This window comes from Homo sapiens, chromosome 14 (assembly GCF_000001405.40).
Source record: "Homo sapiens chromosome 14, GRCh38.p14 Primary Assembly".
In the NCBI taxonomy this organism is placed as follows: Eukaryota; Metazoa; Chordata; class Mammalia; order Primates; family Hominidae; genus Homo; species Homo sapiens.
This window is the reverse complement of record NC_000014.9, coordinates 92724573-92751393: the sequence shown is the minus strand read 5'-3', so window position 1 is coordinate 92751393 and position 26821 is coordinate 92724573. Positions and strand designations below refer to the sequence as shown.

The window sequence follows — 26821 nt, the reverse complement described above, 5'->3', positions numbered from 1 at the left end:
AAACAGATGAATGAACTCCTGATGCTCCCCATTGCAGAAGACTGCGAAAGCATAGCACTCATGAGAGTTGGCAAAGGACTTGGGCAGACCTGGGCTTGAAGCCCAAGGTCACTTTGAAGCTATGATGCTGGACCATGTACTTAACCCAGGGCTTGGCAACTTCCCTTGTGTGAAGAGTCAGACAGCAGACATTTTCAGCTTTGTGGGCCATAAGGCTTCTCACATAGCTATTAATACTCAACTCTGTGTTATTTGTAAAAATAGCCAGAGATAATGTGTCCGGAATTGGTTCCTTCTGTGGGTTCTTGGTCTCGCTGTCTTCAAGAAAGAAGCTGCAGACCCTCACGGTGAGTGTTCCTCTAAAAACGAAACCAAACCAAGAAACTGAGTCTTGCTCTGTCGCCCAGACTGGAGTGCAGTGGCGCCATCTCGGCTCACTGCAAGCTCCACCTCCCAGGTTCACACCATTCTCCTGCCTCACCCTCCCCAGTAGCTGGGACTACAGGCGCCCGCCACCACGCCCAGCTATTTTTTTTTGTATTTTTAGTAGAGATGGGATTTCACCATGTTAGCCAGGATGGTCTCCTGACCTCATGATCCGCCCGTCTCAGCCTCCCAAAGTGCTGGGATCATAGGCATGAGCCACCGTGCCCGTGAGTTACAGTTCTTAAAGACGGTGTGTCTGGAGTTCGTTCCTTCAGATGTTCAGCTGTTTCCTGAGTTTCTTCCTTCTGGTGGGTTCGTGGTCTCACTGACTTCAGGAGTGAAGCCGCAGACCTTGGCAGTGAGTGTTACAGCTGTTAAAGGTGGCAGGTCCGGAGTTGTTTGTTCCTCCCGGTGGGCTTGTGGTCTCCCTGGCTTCAGGAGTGAAGCTGCAGACCTTCACAGTGAGTATTGCAGCTCATAAAGGTAGTGCAGACCCGAAGAGTGAGCAGCAGCAAGATTCACTGCAAAAACCAAAAGAACAAACATTCCACAGCACAGAACAGGACCCCAACAGGTTGCCGCTGCTGTCTCGGGTGGCCAGCTCTTATACTCTTATTTGGCCCCACCCACATCCTGCTGATTGGCCCATTTTACAGAGTACTGATTGGTCCGTTTTTACAGAGTGCTGATTGGTGCATTTATAAATCTTTAGCTAGACACAGCACTGATTGGTGTGTTTTTACAGAGTGCTGATTGGTGCATTTACAAACCTTTAGCTAGACACAGAGCACTGATTGGTGTGTTTACAATCCTTTAGCTAGACAGAAAAGTTCTCCAAGTCCCCACCTGACCCAGAAGCCCAGCTGGCTTCACCTCTCAATAATACCTAAGTCAATGGGTGTGGCTGTGTTCTTATAAGCTTTTATTTACAAAAATAGGTGACAGCAGTGTGCTGATCTATAACTTACTGTAAAAAAAAGATTGTAGAAGAAGACCACATGAGACAACCCATGAAGGTAGCCCGAACTCTTGTGCTGGAATGTCCTTGAGCAGGAGTGCACATACTACATCACATTAATTCCATTTAACTCAATTGACTGAGCCTCACTACATGGCACTCGAATGGATCGTAGTTTGTTTTTCTCTCAAGTTTCTTGGGAGGCAATGCCACCAAACATTTGAGAAGTAGCATTGTGAAGGAAGTAAGAGGTTGGGATTCTGGAACCATACTGCTTAGGTCATAGTTCTGGCTCTGACACTTAAGACATATGTGACCTTTGCAAAATTAACTTAACCTCCCTGACTTAACCTCCCTCAGTTGCCCTATCTGTAAAGCTTGGGTGACAATAACTGTCTTTCTCTCTCAAAGGGTTGTTATGGGGACTAAACGGGTCCAAATCACCTGAGGCTTTCTAAAGATTCCAAAACCCAGACCACATACAAACCAACAAAATCACAATTCCTGGGGGTAAGGCGGAGGTGTCAACCTAAAAGAAGAGTTTATTTAGGCGTAAAGTGTGAGGATGGACCACCCAGAAACACCAACTCCAAAGGAATGGATTTGGCATTCTAAAATAGGGAAGTTAAGGTTTCATTTATATAGGTAGAGATAGGAATTTTGAGCAGGATAACAGTATTCCTACAAGGTTGGCACACAGGTACAGCAATTTGATTGGTTATTGGTTTCTTTTTGGGAAGGGAACATTGAACATTTTTTACATAGGGTGTAATAATCATAGGTTTTATGTCTCTGGTCTAAGCAAAACAGGATAACAGAGGGAAGAAGTTATAATCTATAACAAGGTTCATTACTTAACAAGGCAGGAGCTTTTGTCCCTGAAGCCGTTTAATTCTTCCTAGACATCGTTCAATAAAAGAAAGCGAGAATATAATGTGGGAATAGAAGTTGTAAGCATACGTGACTGACATTACAGTCAGTTCAAGGCTTAAAATATTTTTTCGGTGGGGGGGTTCCAACAGCTTTTCAATTTTATTTTCACAGGGGCATCAGTATTTTTGAGGCTTTCCTAAGTGGCTCCAATGTGCGGACAGGTTTGCTCCAAGAGCTGGTATGATCTTTCGGTAGATGCTTCTGGAATCACCGCGCCCCCAGACCTCAAGTACCTCGGATTCCCCACCTCACTTCAGTGCGCAACTACTGCCCCTCCACCCCCGCGCCCAGCCCAGAAGCCCCTGCCCATGCACACTGGGATTTGTAGTCCCTTTGGCTCGCCGGCCTCGTCCTCTCCTCCCATTGGTTTTGGCAGATGCCACGCCCCATAGCTCCACCAGTCACCGCGGCACAGTGGCCCTTAAGCGAGGAGCGGCGGCGCCCGCAGCAATCACAGCAGTGCCGACGTCGTGGGTGTTTGGTGTGAGGCTGCGAGCCGCCGCGAGTTCTCACGGTCCCGCCGGCGCCACCACCGCGGTCACTCACCGCCGCCGCCGCCACCACTGCCACCACGGTCGCCTGCCACAGGTAACCGCGAGCCCCAGCACAGAACCGGGTTCAGTCCCCACGCCCGAGGCCAGGGCCTCCCGTCTGCTCTCTCAGGCTCTCGACCTCAGGGCTGGGATTTTCATTTTTCCCGTCCCTTTCTGAGTAATCAGTTTCTCACCGTGCGAGGGGGAATTTCAGGAAACAGTGAATCCCGAGGGAAGGGAAACCCTGTGGCCTCTGCTTGGTGGGGCTGGGGGTGGAGGTTTCTCGTTTCTCACGCGTGTTGTGGCTGGAAGGGCTCAGTGCTCTGGAGGGGGAAACTGAGGCGCGGGAGGAGACGGGATTTGCTGAGATCCCGCAGCCAAGGGCCCCTACTGGGACTGGGGCTTGGTTCCAGCCTTTACGACCTAGGAACAGTTCAGACTTTTGATGTTCTTAATGTGGAGGATTGCACCCGTGGGAAAGGGCTATTAACGACGACAACAGAAATACCCAAGCTTATAAAGACATCTATTTAGAGAAGTCAGGGAAGCTCTGGTTCTGGGAGGTTTGAGCTGGTGAGAGTTTCAGGACCACCCGCTTCAATCTTGGAAGTGAAAGTTAACTGGTTTCCTTTCCCGTCCCTATTTGATTTGAGGTTATACCTACGTGGAGTGTTCTATGCCAAGCATTATAGTATCTGGGGGCTGGAAGAAGAAACTTTGTGTCGCGTGCTTTGTTTTATAGATGAAAAGGAGTGCCCAGGGTAGTTGACTAGCCCTGTGGTATGTGGTGAATGGAGTAGCCCAGCTTTCTTTACTCTGGGACTTGCATAGCAAACATTTTCGAGCCTTACTAAGCTTTTTGAGCAGAGATTGTTTCATAAAGGGGAGAGACAATCTCTAGTGAACAGTTCCAGTGTTAAAGGGCTGGAGTATACACGTGTGTACAGGGGCAGCATCTAACCCTAACTTGTGGGAGAGGTTGAGACTTCGCAGAGGTGGGGAGGCTTGAGTGGAGTTTATGTGTTTTTCTGTTTGTTTGTTTTGTTTTGTTTTTGAGACGGAGTCTCGCTCCGTCGCCCAGGCTGGAGTGCAGTGGTGCGATCTCGGCTCACTGCAACCTCCACCTTTCCGGTTCAAGTGATTCTTCTGTCTCAGCCTCCCGAGTTCTGGGATTACAGGCACCTGCCACCATGCCCGGCTAATTTTTGTGTTTTTAGTAGAGACGAGGTTTCACCATGTTGGCCAGACTGGTCTCGAACTCCTGACAAGTGATCCGCCCGCCTCAGCCTCCCAAAGTGCTGGGATTACAGGCATGAGTCACCACGTCTCGCCTTGGAGTTTGAGGGCTGGGCAGAACCTAGTGAGATGAAGGAAGAGAAAAGTGTTTCATCTGGAAAACAGCATGATGAAGGCAGAGAAAGAGCAATGCTTTTTGCACTGGAGTCGTGGAGTCTGGTGCAGTAAAGGGATTTCATGTGGGTGGTAGATTTTTTTTTTTTTTTTTTTTTGAGACGGAGTCTCGCTCTGTCGCCCAGGCTGGAGTGCAGTGGCGCTATCTCGGCTCACTGCAAGCTCCGCCTCCCAGGTCCACGCCATTCTCCTGCCTCGGCCTCCCGAGTAGCTAGGACTACAGGCGCCCGCCACCACGCCCGGCTAATTTTTTGTATTTTTAGCAGAGACGGGGTTTCACCGTGTTAGCCAGGATGGTCTCGATCTGCTGACCTCATGATCCACCCCCCTCGGCCTCCCAAAGTGCTGAGATTACAGGCGTGAGCCACCGCGCCCGGCTGGTGGTGGGATTTTATGAGTGTGAGAATAGAGGGGTACATCTTCCAGGGCTTCCTGTGCTGCTGTGAGAGATTTGGAGTTTATCCTGAATGTCCAGGAAGCCACATTTACTGTAGATCTGTATCTCAGATACTCTGTAGTGTGGAAAAGTGTTGGAGAAAGGCCACACTAAGGATACGGAGGTCATTGCAGTAATCCCCAGGAGAATTACAAGGGTTTTAAAGACAGTTGCAGTGGGACGGGAGGAGAAAAGATTTGATAGCTCTAAGGAGGTAGAATACACCATACCACAGCATTAATCAGTAAGAAATATGTAGAAGTAAACTCTGTCTCTTGAGGTTTCCAGCCGATGACTATCTTTTGAAGAAATGTCCAGCATATTCTTTTTTTTTAACTGCACAAGTTGCTTTGCAGACCATAATTGGAATCCCAGTTTATCAGGGGGAAGTTGTCACATGTACTGAGGGTATCGAAATCTGAATGGTTAAATAATCATATGATAAGACTCAAATTTTCTTGTAATCCAGGAAATGCACATTGAAACTATAATTAGATCATTGTATGTTCATCAGATTAGGAATTGCAAAGTTTGACACTATCAAGAGATGATAAGCGTTTGAAGAAAATGAGATTCTCGCTGGGCGCGGTGGCTCGTGCCTGTAATCGCAGCACTTTGGGAGGCCGAGGCGGGCGGATCATGACGTCAGGAGATCAAGACCATCCTGGCCAACATGGTGAAACCCCGTATCTACTAAAAAATACAGAAATTAGCTAGGTGTGGTGGCACGTGCCTGTAATCCCAGCTACTCGGGAGGCTGAGGCAGGAGAATTGCTTGAACCAGGGAGCCGGAGGTTGCAGTGAGCCGAGATGGCGCCACTGCACTCCAGCCTGGCCAGAGAGGGACATGCCATCTCAAAAAAAAAAAGAAAATGAGATTCTCCTTCACTATGGGTTGCAAGTGTATCTTTGAGCAGTGTAGCCACTAGCAGATTGGATATATCTTAAGATCAGTGGTTCCACTTCTAGAAAATACTAAGAAGCCAGAGACATTTGTATACAAGGGGCAGGATATTAGGGTTGTTTGTGGCAACACTGTTTATAATGGTTTAAAAAATTGGAAACAGCCTAAATGTCCATTACTAGGGGAATGCTTGTAGAGTGGGTATGTATCTTTTTATAATAAATCGATTGGAAAGAAATGCTAATTTAGGATAGTGATAACTTTGCAGTGTGGGGAGGATGGGATGGGACAGAAGGAACAATTTCGTCTGTAATGTGGAAAAAAGATGAGTGGGTTTATAAAATAACAGAGAATGGTCTGGATGATAGGTAAGTGGTGTTTTATGTTATTCTTTGTACATTTCTATAGGTTAATGTCCACCCTTCAATTTCTTGAAGTAAAAGTTAAAGTAAAAATTTAACTTGAGTTAACATGTAGCTATAAAAAGTTAGGCTCAGTCATTTTGGGAAAAGGCTGCAAACTGCACTGGTCCCAGGTTTCAAAAATAGTAAGTTGGGTGAAAGAAAACTCAAATGCCAAATAAGCATTAAAAATTAAAATGTGGAGAAGTTATTAAGCATTGAGCGACATTTTTGGATTTTTAAATTTTTTTGTTTTTTGTAGAGACTGGGTCTCACTATCTTGCCCAGGCCAGTCTCAAACTCCTGGGCCCAAGTGACCCTCTGGCTTCGGCCTCCCAGAGTACTGGGATTACAGGCAGGAGACACTGTGCCCACCGTTGACCCAAATTTCCTTTCCTAGAAACCTAAGTTCTAACCATTAATAGATTAAAAACATTTTTTGACTGCTTCTTTTGAAATACGTGTTACTTGCTTATACTTTCCATAATACTAAAAGATAGGCCAGGCGCGGTGGCTCACACCTGTAATGCCAGCACTTTGGGAGGCTGAGCCGGGCGGATCACCTGAGGTCAGGAGTTCAAGACCAGCCTCAACATGGAGAAACCCCGTCTCTACTAAAAATACAAAAAATTAGCCGGGCGTGGTGGTGCATGCCTGTAATCCCAGCTACTTGGGAGGCTGAGGCAGGAGAATTGCTTGAACCTGGGAGGTGGAGGTTGTGGTGAGCCAAGATCGTGCCGTTGCACTCCAGCCTGGGCAACAAGAGCGAAACTCCGTCTCAAAAAAAAAAAAAAAAAACTAAAGGATAATTTCCTTAAAAAAAAGATAAAGTCATTACTCTGTAAAATGTAAAACTGAACATGTGTTAAGGATTTTATTTAACTCATTAATGAGGTATTGGAGACTGCAAAGTACAGCCAATTTGTAGATTAGAAATACTGAATTGAATTTGCAAATGAAAGACAAAACTGGCCTCTCTACAGAGGGGGAAGGAAGTCAAATGAACCTACATTTGGTAACATGCATTTGCCTGTCTAGACTAGAATTATTTGCATTGCTGTTACCCATAGTATGCAGAATTATAAAATAACTCCTATAAATTAGAATTAGATAACCGTGAAGAGTATGCTCTAATCTAGAAGCTAGTTTGCCAATGAATCATATTTTCTCTGTAGGAAAAAACAACAATAAACGAAGCTGAGTAAAATAGATTTTTCTTTTTCTTTTTTTTTTTCTTTTTGGAGACAGAGCTTACCCTGTCACCAGGCTGGAGTGCAGTGGCGCGATCTCGGCTCACTGCAACCTCTTCCTCCCGGGTTCAAGCGATTCTCCTTCCTCAGCCTCCCGAGTAGCTGGGATTACAGGCACATGCCACCACACCCAGCTGATTTTTGTATTTTTAGTAGAGACGGGGTTTCACCATGTTCGCCAGGATGGTATTGATCTCTTGACCTTGTAATCCGCCCACCTCAACCTTTCCAAGTGCTGGGATTACAGGCATGAGCCACTGCTCCTGGCCTAGATTTTTCATCTGAGTTAAGATCTAGTTGGATGATGATGATGATAACGATAATTTTTTTTTTTTTTTTTTGAGACAGAGTCTCCCTCTGCTGCCCAGCTTAGGAGTGCTGTGGTTTGATCTCGGCTCACTGCAACCTCTGCCTCCAGGACTCAAGCAGTTCTCATGTCTCAGCCTCCCGAGTAGCTGGGATTACAGGTGCATGCTACCATGCCTGGCTAATTTTTGTATTTTTAGTAGAGATGGGGTTTCGCATGTTGGCCAGGCTGGTCTTGAACTCCTGGCTTCAAGTGATCCACCCACCTTGGCCTCTCAAAGTGTTCGAATTACAGGCGCAAGCCACCACACCAGGCCTGGATTTTTTTTTTTTTGAGACGGAGTCTCGCTTTGTTGCCCAGGCTGGAGTGCAGTGGGGCAATCCTGGCTCACTGCAAGCTCCGCCTCCCGGGTGCACGCCATTCTCCTGCCTCAGCCTCCCGAGTAGGTGGGACTATCGGTGCCCGCCACCACGCCTGGCTAATTTTTTTTGTATTTTTAGTAGAGATGGAGTTTCACTGTGTTAGTCAGGATGGTCTCGATCTCCTGACCTCGTGATCCACCCGCCTTGGCCTCCCAAAGTGCTGGGATTACAGGCGTGAGCCACTGCCCGGCCCTGGATTTTGTTTTAATCCCATTCTTTAGCCAGAAAATCAAAGGATTTAAAGGACTGAATGACCCTTTAATAAGCTCTACCATCTCATTTCACAGATGGACTGTGAAGGCCCAGAGAGAGGAAGGGTCTCCCCTGAGTTAGTAGCTATATCTTTTGTTAAAGAAAAATTGCATCAGATGTTTTTTTTTTTTTTTTTTGAGACAGAGGACAGAGGTCTCGCTCTCTCACCCAGGCCGGATGGTTCACTATAGCCTTGACTTCCCGGGCTCAAGTGATCCTCCCCGCTCAGCCCCTTGAGTAGCTGGGACCACAGGTATGCACCATCATGCTGGCTGTATTTGCAGAGACAGAGTCTCCCTATGTTGCCCAGGCTGGTCTGGAACTACTGGGTTTGAGTGATCCTCCTTCCTTGGCCTCCCAAAGTGTTGAGATTACAGGCACGAGCCACCACGCCCAGCCTGTATCCAATGCTTCTTAAATTTTTTTCTGTTTGACACAGGATCTCATTGTGTTGCCCACGTTGGTCCCAAACTTCCAGGCTCTAGCAATCCTTCTACCTCAGCCTCCTAAGTAGCTGGGACTGCAGGCATATGCCAGTGTGCCACGCATGGGTATTTTTTAAAAACAGCAAGACAGGCTGGGTGCAGTGGCTCACATCTGTAATCCCAGCACTTTGGGAGGCTAAGGCAGGTGCATCACTTGAGGCCAGGAACTCGAGACCAGCCTGGCCAACATGGCAAAACCTAAAAATACAAAAATTAGCTGGCATGGTGGTGTATGCCTGTAATCTCAGCTACTCTGGAGGCTGACGCATGAGAATCGCTTGAGCCTGGGAGGTGGAGGTTGCAGTGAGCTGAGATCACTCCATTGCACTCCATTCTGGACGACAGAGTGAGACTCTGTCTCAAAAAAAAAGAAAAAAAAAAAAAGCAAAACAAAAAACAGCAAGACATTTTCTTTTAGCTACTGCAATAGGAGAGAGAGACTTCAGTATGGAATGGAGCTCAGCTCTAGGATGGCAAGGTCAGCTGGGGATTTATAGCCCATGGGCAAGGTGAGGGGGGGTTAGTGGAATTCCTTAAAATATTCAGTATACTAAGGTGCCATTTTTTGAGGTAGTGGGTCCTGAACCCCATCAATAGAATATTACTAAGAGGAACTTCATTAGATATCGAGGGTGAGAGATTCTCTTCTGGATTCTTGCTAAAACTGGACCTGGCAGACCAAGGCCTTGTGGAGAAGAGGGCTCAGTGGAGCCTGACTAAGGTTTGGTCAAGGAGACAGTTCTTGTCACCTGTCCTTATTTCTTCTGCACATTGTCAGCCGAAAAACCTTGCAGGATGATTTTATTCTTTTTATTAGGTGGAGTCTCACTCTGTTGCCCAGGCTGGAGTGCAGTGGCACAATCTCAGCTCACTGCAACCGCTGCTTCCCAGGTTCAAGCCATTCTCCTGCCTCAGCCTCCCGAGTAGCTGGGATTACAGGTGCCCACCACCACGCACAGGTAGCATGCCCAGGTAATTTTTGTATTTTTAGTAGAGACGGGGTTTCACCATGTTGGCCAGGCTGGTTTCAAACTCCTGACCTAAATGATCTGCCCGCCTCGGCCTCCTGAAGTGCTAAGATTACAGGTGTGAGCCCCCGTGCCTGGCCTTCAGGATGATTTTATTTTAAACCCCTAGAAAGCAGAGAGTAGGATCAAAACCTTTAGGTTTGGAAGGCTCTTTACAGATTTCATTGTCTAACTAGCTGCTTTGCTTGGCTTTGATGGTCTTCTGTGTCTAACCCAGAGCCAGTAGCTGGCACTGAGGGGTCACTCCTGATGGTGGTTAAGGTGTAGGCTTTGGTATCAGACCTGGATGTGAACTTGACTCTGCTACTTAGATGGCCCTGTGAACTTGACCTTATTACTTGCATTGTTGGTGATAATTTATCTGGAATGGGCACTGCATCCCAAACTTCTCAAATGGATTAAACCTGACTTGATGGTACATTTCTTGGATCCAAGTGAAGTCTTTTTTTTTTTTTTCTTTTCTTGACAGGGTCTTACTCTGTTGCCCAGGCTGGAGTGCAGTGGCACAATCTTGGCTCACTGCAACCTCTGCCTCCCGGGTTCAAGCAATTCTCCTGCCTCAGCCTCCCGAGTAGCTGGGATTACAGGTGTGTGCCACCATACTTGGCTAATTTTTGTATTTTTAGTAGAGATGGGGTTTCACCATGTTGGCCAGGCTGGTCTCGAACTCCTGGCGTCAAGTGATCAACCCGTCTCGGCCTCCCAAAATGCTGGGATTACAGGCATGAGCCACTGCACCCGGCCCCAAGTGAAGTCTTTTAAGTGAATTACTGACCTGGTATAGCCCTGTAACCTGAGCAGGGATGAAGTCCGAGTGGGAACAGCAGAGGACTTGTCATTGGAGGCTGGTGAAGTCTGTAAAGGCTTGTTCATTGACTTTGACTTTGTGTAGCTCAGATACTCCATTGATAGGCTCTTCTAAGACAAGAGCTGTTTATGCAGCAAGCCCACCAGTGCCTTAAAATAGTAGGGCACGAAAGAGCACCGTGGGTGTCCTACTGCCGGAGGAAACTGTGAGGGCCTGCTCTGTGCTCGGGCCCTGGGGTGCAGGGTGCAGTGCCTGTGGTTCCGGGGCCTCCCAGACTTTCACATAAGCAACTCTTTCTTTGTGTGACAAGCAGGTGATGTAGTGGAACAAACACAGTCTTTGCCGTCAGATCTGCGTGGTCCCAGCAGTGCCACTGACCACCAAGTTTCTCTACCTTTCTGAGCCTCAGTTTTCTCACCTGTCTGAAGGGAGTGGGGATCCTTGCTTACAGAGAACTGTTGTGAGGATGGTGTGAATAAAGTGTCTTGCACGTTGTGTGGTCCATAGTAGATAACCCACAAATGTGCCACTCTGTGCCACTCCGCAACACATCCCAGTCTCTGGGAGTCTTTCTTTCTTTCTTTCTTTTTTTGAGACGGAGTTTTGCTCTTGTTGCCCAGGCTGGAGTGCAATGGCGCGATCTCGCCTCACTGCAACCTCTGCCTCCCGGGTTCAAGTGATTCTCATGCTTCAGCCTCCCGAGTAGCTGGGATTACAGGCATGTACAACCACGCCCAGCTAATTTTGTATTTTTAGTAGAGACGGGGGTTTCTCCTTGGTCAGGCTGGTCTTGAACTCCCGACCTCAGGTGATCCTCCGAACTCGGCCTTCCAAAGTGCTGGGATTACAGGCGTGAGCCACCGTGCCCAGCTGGGAGTCTTTCTCTCTGATCTCCCCTGGCTGGGGCAACGACTGTCTGTGTTGTCTTCTCCCTGCACGTGGTTAGCAGACGATGCATGTGTCCCAACAGCGCCCCTGGGGGAGATCTTTCCAGTCTTGGCACGTTACGATCTGCCTTAGGTTCTTTTTAAAGCCTTCACAGTATCCCACCATAAGGCTGTACTGTAATTGATCCAGCTAGACATTTATGTTGCTTCCAGTGGTTTGCCCTAATATATGGTCTGGTGCCCTCACCTCCATAGTTTCTTCCCCTTTTACAAATGACACCTCCCACTCCTAGTGGGACTCCCTCCCTCTCCTGCCTTATTTTTGTCCATCACTGTCATCACTATCTGACAACCTATGTTTTTAAATGGTCTGTCTCTTCTCTCTGGAATGCCACCTCCACGAAGAGTTTTGTCTGTTTGGTTCACTGTTCAGTGCCTGTGAGCAGCTAGCAGGTGCTCAGTCCGTGTTTGTTGGATGGATTCGGGGTGGGGGTGAATGTAGGAGAGAGTAGATAGGAGGAGAGGAAGTTAAAGGAGAGGAGGTAGATGATGATGATGCCTCTGTGAGATGAGGCCTGTGTAATGGGGACCCTGGAGAGCCACAGCCAAAAACAGCAGAGTCACAAAGAATGAGTAGTTTAGCCGGCGTCGTTCACTTTTTTGTCAGTTTTTCACTTTGATAAACCAGGAATCATAGGGATGCTGCCAGATTATTGGTGACTTTGTTTTGATACCTTGACTTTGTCAAAAATCATACAATAAATGCCCATAGGAAATTAGCATGTAAGGTAGCTACTTTGAGGCATGTTCATTGCCAAGGGTAATGGAATGATTATTTTACTTTTGTGTCTCTCTTCACCCCAGGCCTTTCTATTTTTATGTGTTTCCCAAAATAGTGTTAGTGTATGTGGGGTTTTTTTTGTTTTTTTTTTTTTTGAGACAGAGTCTTGCTCTGTCACCAGGCTGGAGTGCAGTGGTGCGATCTTGGCTCACTGCAACCTCTGCCTCCCAGGTCCAAGCGATTCCCCTGCCTCAGCCTCCAGAGTAGCTGGGACTACAGGTACATACCACCACGCCCAGCTAATTTTTGTATTATTAGTAGAGACAGGGTTTCACCCTGTTGGCCAGGATGGTCTCAATCTCTTGACCTCACGATCTGCCCACCTCGGCCTCCCAAAGTGCTGGGATTACAGGCATGAGCCACTGTGCCCGGCCATGTATGTGGTTTTTAAAGTAGCATTTTCTATTCGGCAACGTAATGTGAGGCTTTTAATATAGCGTTGTAGTCAGGGAATCACGACTCTGTGTTTATAAGAAAAAAGAACGATGGAGCAGGACCATCACCAAGTAGAGACTATGAAAATGTCATTTTTTTTGGCTGGGCGCGGTGGCTCACGCCTGTAATCCCAGCACTTTGGGAGGCTGAGACAGGCAGATCATGAGGTCAGGAGATCGAGACCATCCTGGCTAACACGGTGAAACCCCATCTCTACTAAAAATACAAAAAAATTAGCCAGGCATGGTGGTGGCGCCTGTAGTCCCAGCTGCTCGGGAGGCTGAGGCAGGAGAATGGTGTGAACCTGCGAGGCAGAGCTTGCAGTGAGCCGAGATAGCGCCACTGCACTCCAGCCTGGGCAACCGAGCAAGACTCTGTCTCAAAAAAAAAAAAAAGAAAAAGAAAATGTCATTTTCTGTATCAGTAGGGCACTTTTCTCACAGAGGATTAGAAGAATGAAGGATTAACTCGATTTTGTAAAAATAACCAAGTGGTGCTTTTTTGGTGCCTGCTGTGTGTTTGCTAATTTAGGTGGATAAGTAGGTGGTGTCCGTTCTGTTGTTCACAGTCAGGTCAACCGTTTGTTTCTGGTATTTTATTTATTCATTTTTCTCCTAAATATGAGGGGGTAAAAGTCACACACCATTGCCCCCAGAGGAATGACGCTCTTTGAGACTATGTCATATGAACGAAACTCAGAATAAACAGGTGTGCAAACTAGGGAACCCATTTATTGCTGATAAAAGATGACAGTAACAGCCAGGCTGTGCCTGCCATGTGGTCTGGGGGCATCTTCTCACTCCCTCAGACAGGGTCAGCAACCTATGACCTATGGGCCAAACAAACCACCTATTTTATAGATAAAGTTTTATTGGAACATAACCTATTCTTTTGTTTATATATTGTCTCTGGCTGTAACTGGCTCATGGGTTAGTAATTCATCACTTCCAGAGTCCAATTAACAAGAGCAAGATCTGGTACAAAGAAAGTGATTTATTTCCAAGTTGCTTAGGGGAAGAAACACAGGCATCCCACCTTTAGATGTACTGCTTTGCTTTTGGAGCAGAAAGTGGGCACTTTTAAAAGGCAGGGGAGGAAGCAAGCAAGGTGGGGTGTCCACGTGTTAGCTTGGTGTCTTATCTACTGTGCTGTCTGTCGGTTGAGCTGGTGACTGCTGGCATCTTTGTGGGCAGGACTAGGCCAAAAACTCCCCAGGTGGGAGGGAGTAGCAGGCATGCTTTTTGACTAGTATCTCTCAAGGCAACCTCCTGGCAGGTGAGAGTTCTGTATTGGGCATGCTTTGGTCTGTAAATCAACTCTTAACTCTTGAGGAGTTAGGTGAACTTGCCCTGTAGGGAGTGTCTGGTGAAGGAGGGGCGGGTAAAAGGCTATATTTGTGTTTCTCAAGGGCTAAGCAGGAAGCGGGGAACCAGAGGAATGATAAAAGGAGAGACAAAAATAATTCAACCATCTCTTAGAAAAATGCAAGTACTTGGTGACTGGCTGCTTTCAAGATACAGTGGCAGAGTTGAATAGTTGTGAGAGAGATGGCCTGGCCTGCAAAGCCAAAAATATTTACTTTCTGGTCCTTTGCAGAGAAAGTTAGCCTACCCCTACCCTAGGGGAAGGCTTTCCAGGGAGGCTGCTGGGTGAGCTCCGAGTAGGTGAGAGCCGTTGGTTGGAACACCTTGGTAGTGACTGTCACACCTCTCTTGTGGGGTCACTGAAGAGCTTGGGGGACATGGATATTTTTGCTCCTTGACTCTCTCTCGCCTGTCCTCACTGTTGCTTCTTCACAAGTTTGTATAATTGCATCTTGTATTGGTTCCTTACCTTCGAGCTGCCAGGGGTGCTTGAACCAGAGTGACTCCATGATGAACAAGGGCTGGGTAAAATTTGGCTGAGACCTGCTGGGCTGCAGTCCCAGGAGGTTAGGTATTCCTAGTCACAGGATGTTTATGGTTAAGGGAACAGGTTAATGTTTACCAAACAGACCCAGGAAAGGTCCTGATGTCCCTATATCTTAAGAACAAAAGCATTTTTAGTTTAATAATAAGTTCACTTTATTTTATTTATTTATTTAAGACAGGGTCTCGCTCTGTCACCCACGCTGGAGTGCAGTGGCACAATCTTGGCTAACTGCAGCTTCTGCCTCCCGGGTTCAAGTGATTCTCGTGCCTCAGCCTCCTGAGTAGCTGGGATTACAGGTGTGCGCCACCACGCCCAGCTAAATTTTGTATTTTTAGTAGAGACAGGGTTTCACCTTGTTGCCCAGGCCGGTCTTGAAGTCCAGACCTCAAGTGATCCGCCTGCCTCAGCCTCCCAAAGTACTGGGATTACAGGTGTGAGCCACCGCACCTGGCCATAAGTTTCACCTTAAAGATAATAACATAGATTCTTGTGAAAGACAGCAGTTCTACAAAGATTAACGGTCCTCTGTCCGTTAATCTTGCCTTGTAGCAGGCACATCTCCCTGTGACTTTGTTTTGCTTTGTTGTCTTATGTCTAAACAAGCATTGCACCTAAGGTAGACATGGTCCTCCTCTTGCTTTTGGGAACACCCTGTTCTGTCTGTAGAGTAATGTGTTCTTTCACTGTTTCACTTGCTGAATAAGCTTGCTTGCACATTATTCTGTGGACTTGCCCCAAATTCTTTCTTGCATGAGGTCCAAGAACCCTCTGTTGAGGTCTGGATCAGGACCCCTTTCTGGAAACACAGCCCCACAGCGAGCCCTTGTCAGGTCGAGTGGACTTGTGGGGAGCCTCCTCAGGTGCACATGAACAGACCCGTGGTTCTAGCACTGGGGGTCCCCAGCACTCCACTGACCTATCTGTTATGTGCCATACTAGCCGCTACTCCAAGAAAAAAAAAAACCTGAAAAAAACAAATCTGGGAGCATCTTACTGTAGTTACCAGTTGCCCGTCCATTGACCTTGCAGTGGAGCTAAAGAAACCTACATTTAGCACGATTTCAGGCTTTCGGATTAAGAATTAAGTTCCTGTTAGGAGGCAGTGCTTGAGGGTGGAGCAGTGTAGTCTGTTGACCAGGATGCTGGGTTGAGGACAAGTGGACCAGAGGCTGGGGGATTTAATGCAGTTCTGCCACATCAAAGGTAATCTGAGGCTAGCAGCATAGTGTCACCTGACACTTGTTAGAAATGCAGTCTCATGGCCAGGTGCGGTGACTCACACCTGTAATCCCACCACTTTGGGAGGCCGAGATGGGCAGATCACCTAAAGTCAGGCGTTTGAGACCAGCCTGGGCAACATGGCGAAACCCTGTCTCCACTAAAAATACAAAAATTAGCTGGGCATGGTGGTGGGCACCTGTAATCTCAGCTACTCAGGAGGCTGAGGCAGGAGAATCGCTTGAACCTGGGAGGCGGAGGTTGCAGTGAGCTGAGATTGCCCCAGTGCACTCCAGCCTGAGCCACAGAGCAAGACACCGTCTCAAAAAAAGAAATGCAGTCTCAGGCCCTGCCCCAGGCCTACTGAATCAGAATCTGCCTCCTAGATCCCCAGGTGACCTAGGTGCATATTCAAGTGGGAGAATTACTTGTCTAAGACACTTTTCAAGACTCAGCACTTCCTATTTAGTTACTGGAGGAAATCCATCGCTTTGAGGGCTAGACTCAGAACATTGAAGATGGTTTCTTCAGCTTAGAGGTGGATCAGCCTTCATCTGGGTGCGTCCTCCATGAAGACACAGGCTTTGTTCTGTCCCTGTTGAGTTCCCAGCACCCAGCACCTTGTCTGGCAAAGTAGGTGTTGCAGAGACTCTGGCTGAGTGGCGAGTCAAGGAATGAATGAGCACCACCAGCCCTGCTTGTGGCATTGGGACAGAAGTCAGCCTCACACATCTGCCGCCCTGAGTCCCCACATCTCAGTGACTATATATTTTTCTTCTTATCGCGGAGGCACAGGCTTGGTGCTGTTTTCCGTTTATACTTTAACAATGTATTTAAGGGTTTGGAATTGAAGTATAAAAGAGAGCATGTACTTCCATAATAATAAAGTTTTTTTTTTTTTTCTTTTTTGAGACGGAGTCTTGCTCTGTTGCCCAGACTGGAGTGTAGTGCTATGATGCAGGCTCACTGTATCCTTCACCTCCCGGATTCAAGTGATTCTCCTGCTTCAGCCTCCTGAGTAGCTGGGATTACAGGCTCCTGCCACCACGCCTGGCTAATTTTTGTATTTTTAGTAGAGACAGGGTTTTGCCATGTTGGCCAGGGTTTTGCCATGTTGGACAGGGTGATCTTGGACTCCTGACCTCATGTGGTCCATCCGCCTCCGCTTTCCTAAGTGCTGGGATTGCAGGCGTGAGCCACCACGCCCGGCCTCAGTAATAATAAAGTCTTGCGATGGAGAGCCATATAGCAGAAAGAGTGCCGGACCAGCCGTTCAGAAGGCATGGTCCCAGCTCTGGCCAACGCTGACAGTCCATGGCTATTAGGCAGGTCATTGCTCTCAGACCCTAACCTCTCCTTTCTGTAAAACAAGGATGAAAATGTTTGCCCTGCATGTTGTACAGATGGTATGTCCATGCTCTGTAAGTGTGATGCAAAGACAACATGAATTAATGTTTGACTATAGCTCATCCAGATAGTTCACCTTATAAACTTAAATTGCCCATCAATGTTTTTATTAAACCTATACTGAATTTTTAGAAACTTTATTAAGTAATACACATTAACTGTATTAAAAGGAGACAAAAATGAGGAAGAAAATCACCCTTGATCCTGCCAACCACCTACCAATAACTACTGTTAACATTTTGTCTGTCTTCCATATTTTTCTGTGTAGTTTATTTTATTTATTTTTAAAATTTATTTTTTCTTATGTAGCTTTTTTTATTCTTATTTTTAGTTTTGAGCCAGAGTCTCACTCTGCCACCTAGGCTGGAGTGCAGTGGCCTGATCTTGGCTCACTGCAACCTCCACCTCCCGGTTTCAGGCAATTCTCCTGCCTCAGCCTCCCAAGTAGCTGAGACTACAGGTATGTGCCACCATGCCCAGCTAATTTTGTATTAGCAGAGCCAGGGTTTTACCTTGTTGGCCAGTCTGGTCTTGAACTCCTGACCTCAGGTAATACACCTGCTTCGGCCTCCCAAAGTGCTAGGATTACAGGCGTGAGCCACTGCACCCAGCCTGCACAGTTTATTTTACATGTATATTCTTTTCTTACAAATACTTCATAGTATGTGGTAGATATGTTTCCAATAGTGAATTTTGTTGATGAATTTTATCTGCTGTATTTTGAGTTACGTCAAAAACTTTAAAAAGTGCCCAGAGCCCTTTCTGGATATTCTTTTATTTTATATGCATGACTTGGACTTGTAGTGAAGATTGGGAGGTATGGACAGCCCCTTCTCCACGCACAGGCTGGAGCAATAGAGCTAAAAATAGAAACCCTCTCTGTTATCTTCAACATACTCTGGTGGTTAAATGACCTTATCTTTTTGACCCATTTACTATGATATTTTCTTAGGGGCTGACAATGTTTATCTGTTCTTTTTTTTTTTTTTTTTTGGAGACAGAGTCTGACTCTGTCACCCAGACTGGAGTATGGTTGCACAGTCTAGCTCACTGCAGTCTCTGTCTTCTGGGTTCAAGTGATTCTCCTTCCTCAGCCTCCCGAGTAGCTGGGATTATAGGTACGTGCTACCACGCCTAGCTAAGTTTTGTATTTTTAGTAGAGATGAGGTCTCTCCATGTTGGCCAAGCTGATCTCAAACTCCTGACCTCTTGATCCACCCTCCTCGGCCTCCCAAAGTGCTGGAATTACAGGTGTGAGCCACCGCGCCCAGCCAATGTTTATCAGTTCTTGTTGCTTTGTACTTGACTCTGTGTTTCCCTTCTCAGGTGTCTGCAATTGAACTCCAAGGTGCAGAATGGTTTGGAAAGTAGCTGTATTCCTCAGTGTGGCCCTGGGCATTGGTGCCGTTCCTATAGATGATCCTGAAGATGGAGGCAAGCACTGGGTGGTGATCGTGGCAGGTTCAAATGGCTGGTATAATTATAGGCACCAGGTAAGAAAATGACTAATCTTTTTTTTGTTAAGGACACTGGCATTCTGAAAACAATTCCAGACACTGTTAATATTAAATAGAAAAGACTTGAAAAGCCATTGACGGACCTGTTAGGCTGGCTGTAACATAGGTGTGTTAGCGAGGATGTGGGGAAATCAGAACCCTCATATGTTGCCAGGAGGATTATAAGATGGTGTAGCCATTTTGGAAAACAGTTTGGTCATTCCTCAGAAGTTTTGATAGGGCCATCTTAATCTGATGCAAGGTTTCTGAACCTTGGCACTGTTGATAGTTGGGGACCAGGTCATTCTTGGTTGTTGGGGGCCGTCTTGTGCATTTGAGGTTTAGCAGCGTCCATGACACCTACCCGTTAGATGATGGCAGCATCTCCTGCTCCACTGTAATAACGCAGAATTCTCCAGACGTCGCCCAGTGTCCCCAGGGAGCCAGATCACCCAGGCTGAGACCCACTTAGTTCAACATCTTCATTTTAGAGATAAGGAAACTGAGGCCTAGAGAGTGGAGGTGACTTGCTCAAGGTCACATGGCAAGTGGGGACCAGACAGGACTGAGGCCAGGACTCTGGTGACAGGACCCCCAGGCCTCTCTGCCCTACTGCTCTCTCTTCACACCCTCCTCCCCCATCTTTCCTGGATTTCCCCACATCAGCCTACCAGAAGGTAGAGAGAAGAAGAAAAGAAGCCACATCGGAGTGTCCATGAAAAGTCCAGCCTCCCTGTGGGATGTAAAATGGTGCAACCACCTTGGGAAAGAGTCTGGCAGTTCCTCAAAATTTAAACATCAAATTGAACATATGACCCAGCAATTCCGCTCCTAAGTATGTCCTTAAGAGAGGTGAAAACATGTGTCTACACATGAACATGTACATGACTGTTCATAGCAGTATTGTTCATAAGAGCCAAAAGGTGGAAACAAGCCAGATGTCCATCAAAGGTTGAATGGAGAAACACAATGTGATTTATTCATGTAAGAAGATATTATTTGACCGTAAGAAAGGAAGAAGTACTCACACATGCTTCAACATGGGTGAACCTTACAAACATGCTAAGGAGCTAGTCACAAAGACCACATATGTTATGATTCCATTTAAATGAAAGCCCAAATTTGGAAAATCTATAGAGATAGAAAGTAGGTTAGTAGTTGCCAAGGGCTGGGTGAAGGAGAGACTGGGGAGTAATTGCCGATGGACATGGGGTCTCTCTTTGCAGGAATGAGAATGCTCTAGAAGTAGTGGTGATGAGTACACAACTTGGTGAACATACTAGAAACCACTGAATCGTCTGTTTTAGAAGACTGACTTCTATGGTGCATGAACTCTATCTCAATACAGCTGTTATTTTTTTAAAAAGTCATTTAATCTTGTCAGTCTCAGAAACAAATGCTTAGACTTGCAGTATCTATATATTGGGCTCTCTTCTAAGAGCGCTTTACACAGAGTCCTTTAACTCCTGCAGTGGGGTTATGTGCCATTGGTCCAGTTCTTACTCCCTCTTTACGAATGATTGGACTGAGGCATAGGCAAGGTCAGTAGTTTGCCCAAAGCGGTACAGCTCACAAGTGGTGGGGCCAGTTTTCAAACCCAGGCCAACTGGCTCTGGAGCAGCCCTGTCTGGTAAAAGAGCCATGGTAAATGTTCTAGTAGCCACATTTAGAAGGTGAAATTAATTTTAATAACTTCTTTTTTTTTTTTTTTTGGTTGAGACAGAGTCTTGCTCTGTGTCCCAGGCTAGAGTGCAGTGGCGCGATCTCGGCTCACTGCAGCTTCCACCTCCCAAGTTCAAGCTATTCTCCTGCCTCAGCCTCCCGAGTAGCTGATATTACAGGTCCAGCTAATTTTTGTATTTTTAGCAGAGGCCGGGTTTCACCATGTTGGCCAGGCTGGTCTTAACTCCTGACCTCAGGTGATCTGCCTGCCTCAGCCTCCCAAAGTGCTGGGATTACAGGCGTGAGCCACCATGCCCGGCCTTAATATCTTCTTTAAACCAGTATTTCCAAACCATTATCATTTCAACATGTAATCAATATAAAAAATTAATAATAAGATACCAGCCAGCATGCTTGTAGTCCCAGCTACTCTGGAGGCTGAAGTGGGAGGATTGCTTGAGCCCAGGAATTTAAGGCTGCCGTGAGCTATTATCGCACCTGTGCATAGCCACTGCGCTCCAGCTTGGGTAGCAGAGCGAGACCTTGTTTAAAAAAAATGATAATAATGAGATATCATACATTCTTTGATTTTGTACTAAGTCATTGAAATCCAGTCTGTATTTACATTCACGGAATGAATGAATAACTCATTTCTCGAATCGTTTTTGTATGTTAGCCGAATAGGAAATTTGGCTTGATTAAAAAGTTGTTATCATGGCAAAATGATCCCTTCTCCCTTTAATACTTAACCACAGACCTGACCCATGTAAAGAGGAGCAGCCCGCGCACACAGCTGTTCAGCTCTCAGTTTTCTTCTCCCCCTCTAACCTCAAGTTGGAAAGATTAGTTGTGAAATACAGACCACAGAGAGTTAACACGATTACTCATCAACCACCGTGATTTTTATACAACCAGCTTTTAAGAAAATGTATTTATTAAACATTATTGAGTAGAGGTTATCCAATTACCTTTGCTCCCAGAAACCTTTTTGTTTTTTTAGTGTTGCTAATTTCCCTGAGTAAAATACTAACTATCAAAATAGAACAAAGGGAAACAAGGCCAAAGAAGTGGCCCAGACTGAAATATTCGTCCCCGAGTAAGAGAGGATGATGGCCTTAAGGCCGGTGGAGGTGAGATTTGTGCCGATTCACCCCTGCCTCAGCCCTCCCTGCCAAGGGGCTGCTTCTGTCCTCAGCCGGCTGCCATTTGCCTTCTTGACTTTGGAGGCTTATCATTAAAAGAGTGTTCAAAAGAACGGTCTCCACAGAACCTAGGCAGATTTTAAACTTACATTTTCATAGAGGTTTATATTTTCCTTGGATTAACACAACATTCATTTACCACAAATCTCTTGTTTAGGGAAGAGTGGCACACCAGGCACAAATAAATCATTGCTAAGTGCTTTCCTATGTGTTATACTTGTTAATTAAACCTTGTTTTGTCTTGACCAAATTGGATTTCTCACTTTTCCATTTTGGGCTGGGATTAAGTGTTTAACGGGGGCGGGGGGGGGGGGCGTGATCTGAGGTGATGTGGGCAGGACATTCTGCATTGTGTCCTGAGCATGGGGTGAGTAAGGAGGGCCCCTTTGGAAGTCGTGGAATCAGAGTAGAGTCTGGGGTGATCAGAGAGAGCTGGAAGAGTGAGGTGGGGGGTTGCATGGATAATGGGGAGAAGGGAGCAGCCAAGCATGAGTGCCAGAGAGGTGTGAGGGTGTGGCCAGCCTGGGAGGGAGTGGGGACAGAGGCAGACCTGGGAGAGGGGCCAGCAAGATGGGCCAGGATGGGCAGAGGTGCGCAGGCACCTGGGAAGTGTGGCGCAATCCCAGAACGAACAAAAAAAAAAAAAAAAAAAAAGAAAAGCTGAGCAGGTGGAAGTGGCCCAGGAGCAGAACTGACTGAAAATGGTACCTAGCTCATTCCTGCTGAGCACGTGTGAGTCAGATGCCGTTCAGGGTGCTGGCGATGCATGTCACCCCACCTGCTCTGCAGTGCTGACATACTGGTGGAAGAAGGCTGCCCTTGACTAAGCGCTTCCTGTGTGCAGGGCTCAGTTCCAAGCACTTGGCACGTGTTATCTCAATCCTCAGACAACCCAAGAGGATAGGTCCTATTAGATCTCCATTGTAAGATGTGGGGGTGGGGCTAAGGCACAGAAAGGCTGGGTAACTTATCTAAGGTCACACAGCCAGTAAGGGGTGGAGCTGAGATTTAACCCAGGCAGTCCATGCTCCACAGCCCATGCTTATAATCACTACTCTAGTCATGTGGCATGGGTATCTTGGCATTACTTTATCTTTTATTTTAAAATAGTTTCCTTTTTTTGTATTAAAAATTTAACATGTTAAGGTTTATTATAGAAAACTTACACAGCCAAAGGAAGCAGGTCATTTGTAATTAGTCATGCGCCGTATAACAAGTTTGTTCAGTGATGGACCGCATACACGACAAGTGGTCCTGTAAAGTATAGTAGCATATTTTTACTGTACTTTTCCTATGTTTAGATACACAAATACTTGCCATTGTGTTCCATTTGTCTGCAGTATTCATGACAGTAACGTGCAGTACAGGTGGATGGCCTAGGATTACCATCTGAGCGTTATAACAAACATTATCACCTTAGCTCCACCTCCTGTCAGGTCACCGATGCCAATTCTAATAGGAGCGTGAACCCTATCGTGATCTGCGTATATGAGGAATCCAGGCTGCGCACTCCTTGTGAGAATCTAACTAATGCCTAGTGATCTAAGCTGGAACAGTTTCATCCCGAAACCATTGCCCCTCACCCCTGTGTGTGGAAAAATTGTCTTCCACAAAACCAGTCCCTGGTGCCAAAAAGGTCGTGGACCGCTGGGCTAGACCATCTAGGGTTGTGTAAATACATTCTATGATACTCACAAAACGACAAAATCACCTCGTGAAGCATCTCTCAGAATGCATCCTTGTCTTTAAGCAATCACAACTGCTACATAGACTCAGTGTTGCTGGCATTGCATTCTGAAAGTGGCAAACACGGCAGAATTTTTCTGAGCATTAAAACAGACTTGATGTATTGGTCTGTTTAGTTTAATGTTTTTCACTTGAGGCCCATGGTTTGCAAGGGGTGTAGGGGAGGATTGTGGAGAATGGGGAGTCAGGGCCCTCTGATCAGGAGCCCCCAGCCTTTTAGGGTAGGTGTACAAATACCTGAACTCGAGGCTGAGAAAGAGCAGTCTCTACAGCAGCTCCAGTTGCCGGGTTTGGGTCCAGAAGTAGATGAGGTCCATCAGGAGAGGGATGGGAATGCAGCTTCTTGGAGGAGAGGCTTGACGTGGGTTTGAAGGATGACGGGATTTCCACAGAAGCTCTTTCCGCGTGGAGGGAAGAGCATCAGCTGGCAGTGGGAATATAAAATCACAGTGAGGGGCGTGGCCAGCACATCGGGTGCCTTCAAGTGCATGTACCAGAGCCCTCCCTGGTGGTTTGAAAGAGTGTGGAGACTCCAGGGTTGGCTAATTAAGCAGTTTAGCCTCTTTATCTCAAACCCAGGTCCTTTTTTTTTTTTTTTTTTTTTTTGTGAGGCAGTCTTGCTCTGCCACCCAGGCTGGAGTGTAGTGGTGCAATCTCGGCTCATTGCAACATCCACCTCCCGGGTTCAATCAATTCTCGTGCCTCAGCCTCTCGAGTAGCTGGGACTACAGGCGCCTGCCACCACGCCTGGCTAATTTTTATATTTTTAGTAGAGACGGGGTTTTGCCGTGTTGCCTAGGCTGGTCTTGAACTCCTGGCTTCAAGTGATCTGCCCGCCTCAGCTCCCAAAGTGCTGCGATTACAGGCGTGAGCCACTGTGCCCAGCCTCTTTTCATCTTGCTACTCTGTCATCATAGTTGTGACGAACTGTCCTCAAATACACTCTCCTCATAGTCACGAAATGGCTGCAGCAGCTCCAGGTGTCACATCCAAACAAAATCTCAAAGAAGAAAAAGAGGGCATCTATGTGTCTTGTCTGTTTGGCTTGCTCTTTATCAGATGCACATCTTTTCTTGGAGCCATGGGTGGACTTTGTCCCGAGTCTTCCTGGCCAGAATTGCATCACGTGCTCATGTTCAAGTCAGTCAGTTCCTGGTGAGGGGAAATGGATTTCCAGTTCACACTCAGGGAAGCTCCTGACCACTTGTGACCACTTGGAGCTGGGTAGGTCATCTGAGCAAAGCCAGGGCCCTGGTGGAAAGGAAGGTGGCCACAGGGCATGCAAGGACAGTGCATGGCCCAGGTAGATGGGGAGGAGGAAGCGAGGGAGAAGGAGACCGGCAAGGTAGGGTGAGGGCATGGTGAGGCGTGTTAGGAGGAGAAGGCCCAGTCAGCAACTCTCCCTTTCTTTCCCTTTGACAGAACCTCTCCACTCAGAAGTAGATAAAGGGTTGGACAGGCGCCATGTCACCAATGACAAGAACAGGGAGCTCCTCACTCTGTGTGCTCCTGGCAAGCCCCTTCCCCACCCCCACACACTCAGAGCCTCACCATTGCTGTCTGGCTCAAGACTGGGGCCTGCAGAGTTTTTTTCTATAAAGGGCCAGATAGTAGATATTTGAGGTTTTGTGGGCCAAGGGGCAAAAATCGAGGCTGGCGGGGCCAAAGACAGGCTGGGCAGACTGCAGTGACGGAGGCGAGAGGGAGTGGCCAGGGAGTGCAGGAAGGAGGTGGTGGTGACTCACAGTCTGTTTCTCACAAGCTATTTGTTTACTTATTTAATTTTTTTTTTTTTTTTGAGACAGAGCCTCAATCTTGTTGCCCAGCCTGGAGTGCAATGGCGTGATCTCAGCTCACTGCAGTCTCCGCCTCCTGGGTTTAAGCGATTCTCCTGTCTCAGCCTCCCGAATAGCTGGGATTACAGGCACCTGCCACCACGCCCGGCTAATTTTTGTATTTTTAGTAGAGACAGGGTTTTACCATGTTAGCCAGACTGGTCTCGATCTCCTGACCTCTGATGATCCACCTGCCTCAGCCTCCCAAAGTGCTGGGATTACAGGTATGAGCCACTGTGCCCGGTCAGATGAGCTCATAACTTATGGTGTTTTGAGATTAATCCATGTTGTTGCACAATATCACTTTTATATTTAAAAAAATCCGTGGCCAGGTGTGGTGGCTCACACCTGTAATTTCATCACTTTGGGAGACCAAGGTAGGTGGATCACCTGAGGTCAGGAGTTTGAGACCAGCCTGGCCAACATGGTGAAACCCCATCTCTACTAAAATACAAAAATTAGCCGGGCATGGTGGCATGCACCTGTAATCCCAGCTACTCAGGAGGCTGAGGCAGGAAAATAGCTTGAACCTGGGAGGCAGAGGTTGTGGTGAGCCAAGTTCGTGCCACTGCACTCCAGCCTGGGTGACAGAGTGAGACTCTGTCTCCAAAAAAAAAAGAAAAAGAAAAAAGAAATCCGCTTTTATTTTTATTTTCAGCAACAGGGTCTTATTCTGTCACTTAGGCTGGAGCTCGGTGGTGTGATCATAGCTCACTGCAACCTCAAACTCCTGGGCTCGAGGGATCCTCTTGAGTAGCTGGAACCGTGGGACCATAGGTGTGCCACCATGCCCAGCTAGTTAAAAATTTTTTTTTATAGAGATGAAGTCTTGCTATGTTTCCCAGGCTGGTCTCAAACTCCTGGGCTCAAGTGATCCTCTTTCCTCAGCCTCCCAAAGTGCTCAGATTACAGGCCACTGTGTCTGGCCTGAAATCTGCTTTTAAAGAGGGCATGGTGGGAAGAGATTAGGAGGGAGGACAGAGGGGACTGTGCAAGGGAATGCCAAGCATGTGGGATATGGGCTTGGGCCCATTCTTGCAGCAGGGCCGTCCTTGTAAATGCCAGAGGCAGCACAGGACCTTGGAAAGACCATGGCTCTGGATTTGCTCAGACCTCAGGTGTCATTCCTTCTCTCCAGTTATGTGCTGTGTAAGTTTGAACAAACTACATTGTCAGATTCTTTCTCTGGGGTTGGCAGTGGGCTCAGCGAGGCACACTGCAAAACCCCAGCCTGATGCCTCACCTCAGCACTGCTCAGCTGTGTGTCGGGAAGTGATCATATATGTATACTTGGCAGGTGAGCAGGGCTGGCTGGAGAGCGGACCCTTTACAGCAACTGTGACATGGGGCACGCCAATGTATTTAGACCTTGTTCGACTTGTCTTTGTTTAGCTGACAGCTGGCCAAGCTGGAGGCAGTACAAGCAGACAGAGTAGGGACAGTTGCCCTATCGGCAAATCACGGGAGGCATTAGGAAGACCAGCGGAACTCCCAGCACAAGCTATCAAACCAGCCAAGTCACAATCTCTGTTTGTCATTCCGGAGGGCTCTGCGCCTCTTAGAAGTCTTGCTCAATACCCTCCTCTCGAATATGACCTCATATGACTTTTCTGGGCTTATGCGGGGAA

At 47.1% G+C, this 26821-nt stretch overlaps 1 protein-coding gene across 11 annotated transcripts in view; it reads left to right on the top strand.

The window, feature by feature from the left end:
- The first annotated feature begins 2766 nt into the window (after window positions 1–2766).
- LGMN (legumain) overlaps window positions 2767–26821 on the top strand; it is a 44819-nt gene continuing 20764 nt past the window's right edge. For 4 of the 11 annotated variants that reach the window (NM_001437403.1, NM_001437397.1, NM_001437394.1 and 1 more), the window contains exons 1-2: window positions 2767–2905; window positions 18579–18745. In NM_001437403.1, the coding sequence (NP_001424332.1) occupies window positions 18608–18745 (138 nt within the window). In that variant the 5' untranslated portion in view covers window positions 2767–2905; window positions 18579–18607. Of the gene's footprint in view, window positions 2906–7700; window positions 7719–9539; window positions 9657–10214; window positions 10333–18253; window positions 18371–18578; window positions 18746–26821 lie in introns of those variants that run through there. The other 7 variants (NM_001363699.2, NM_001363696.2, NM_001008530.3 and 4 more) reach the window with 5 other exon arrangements.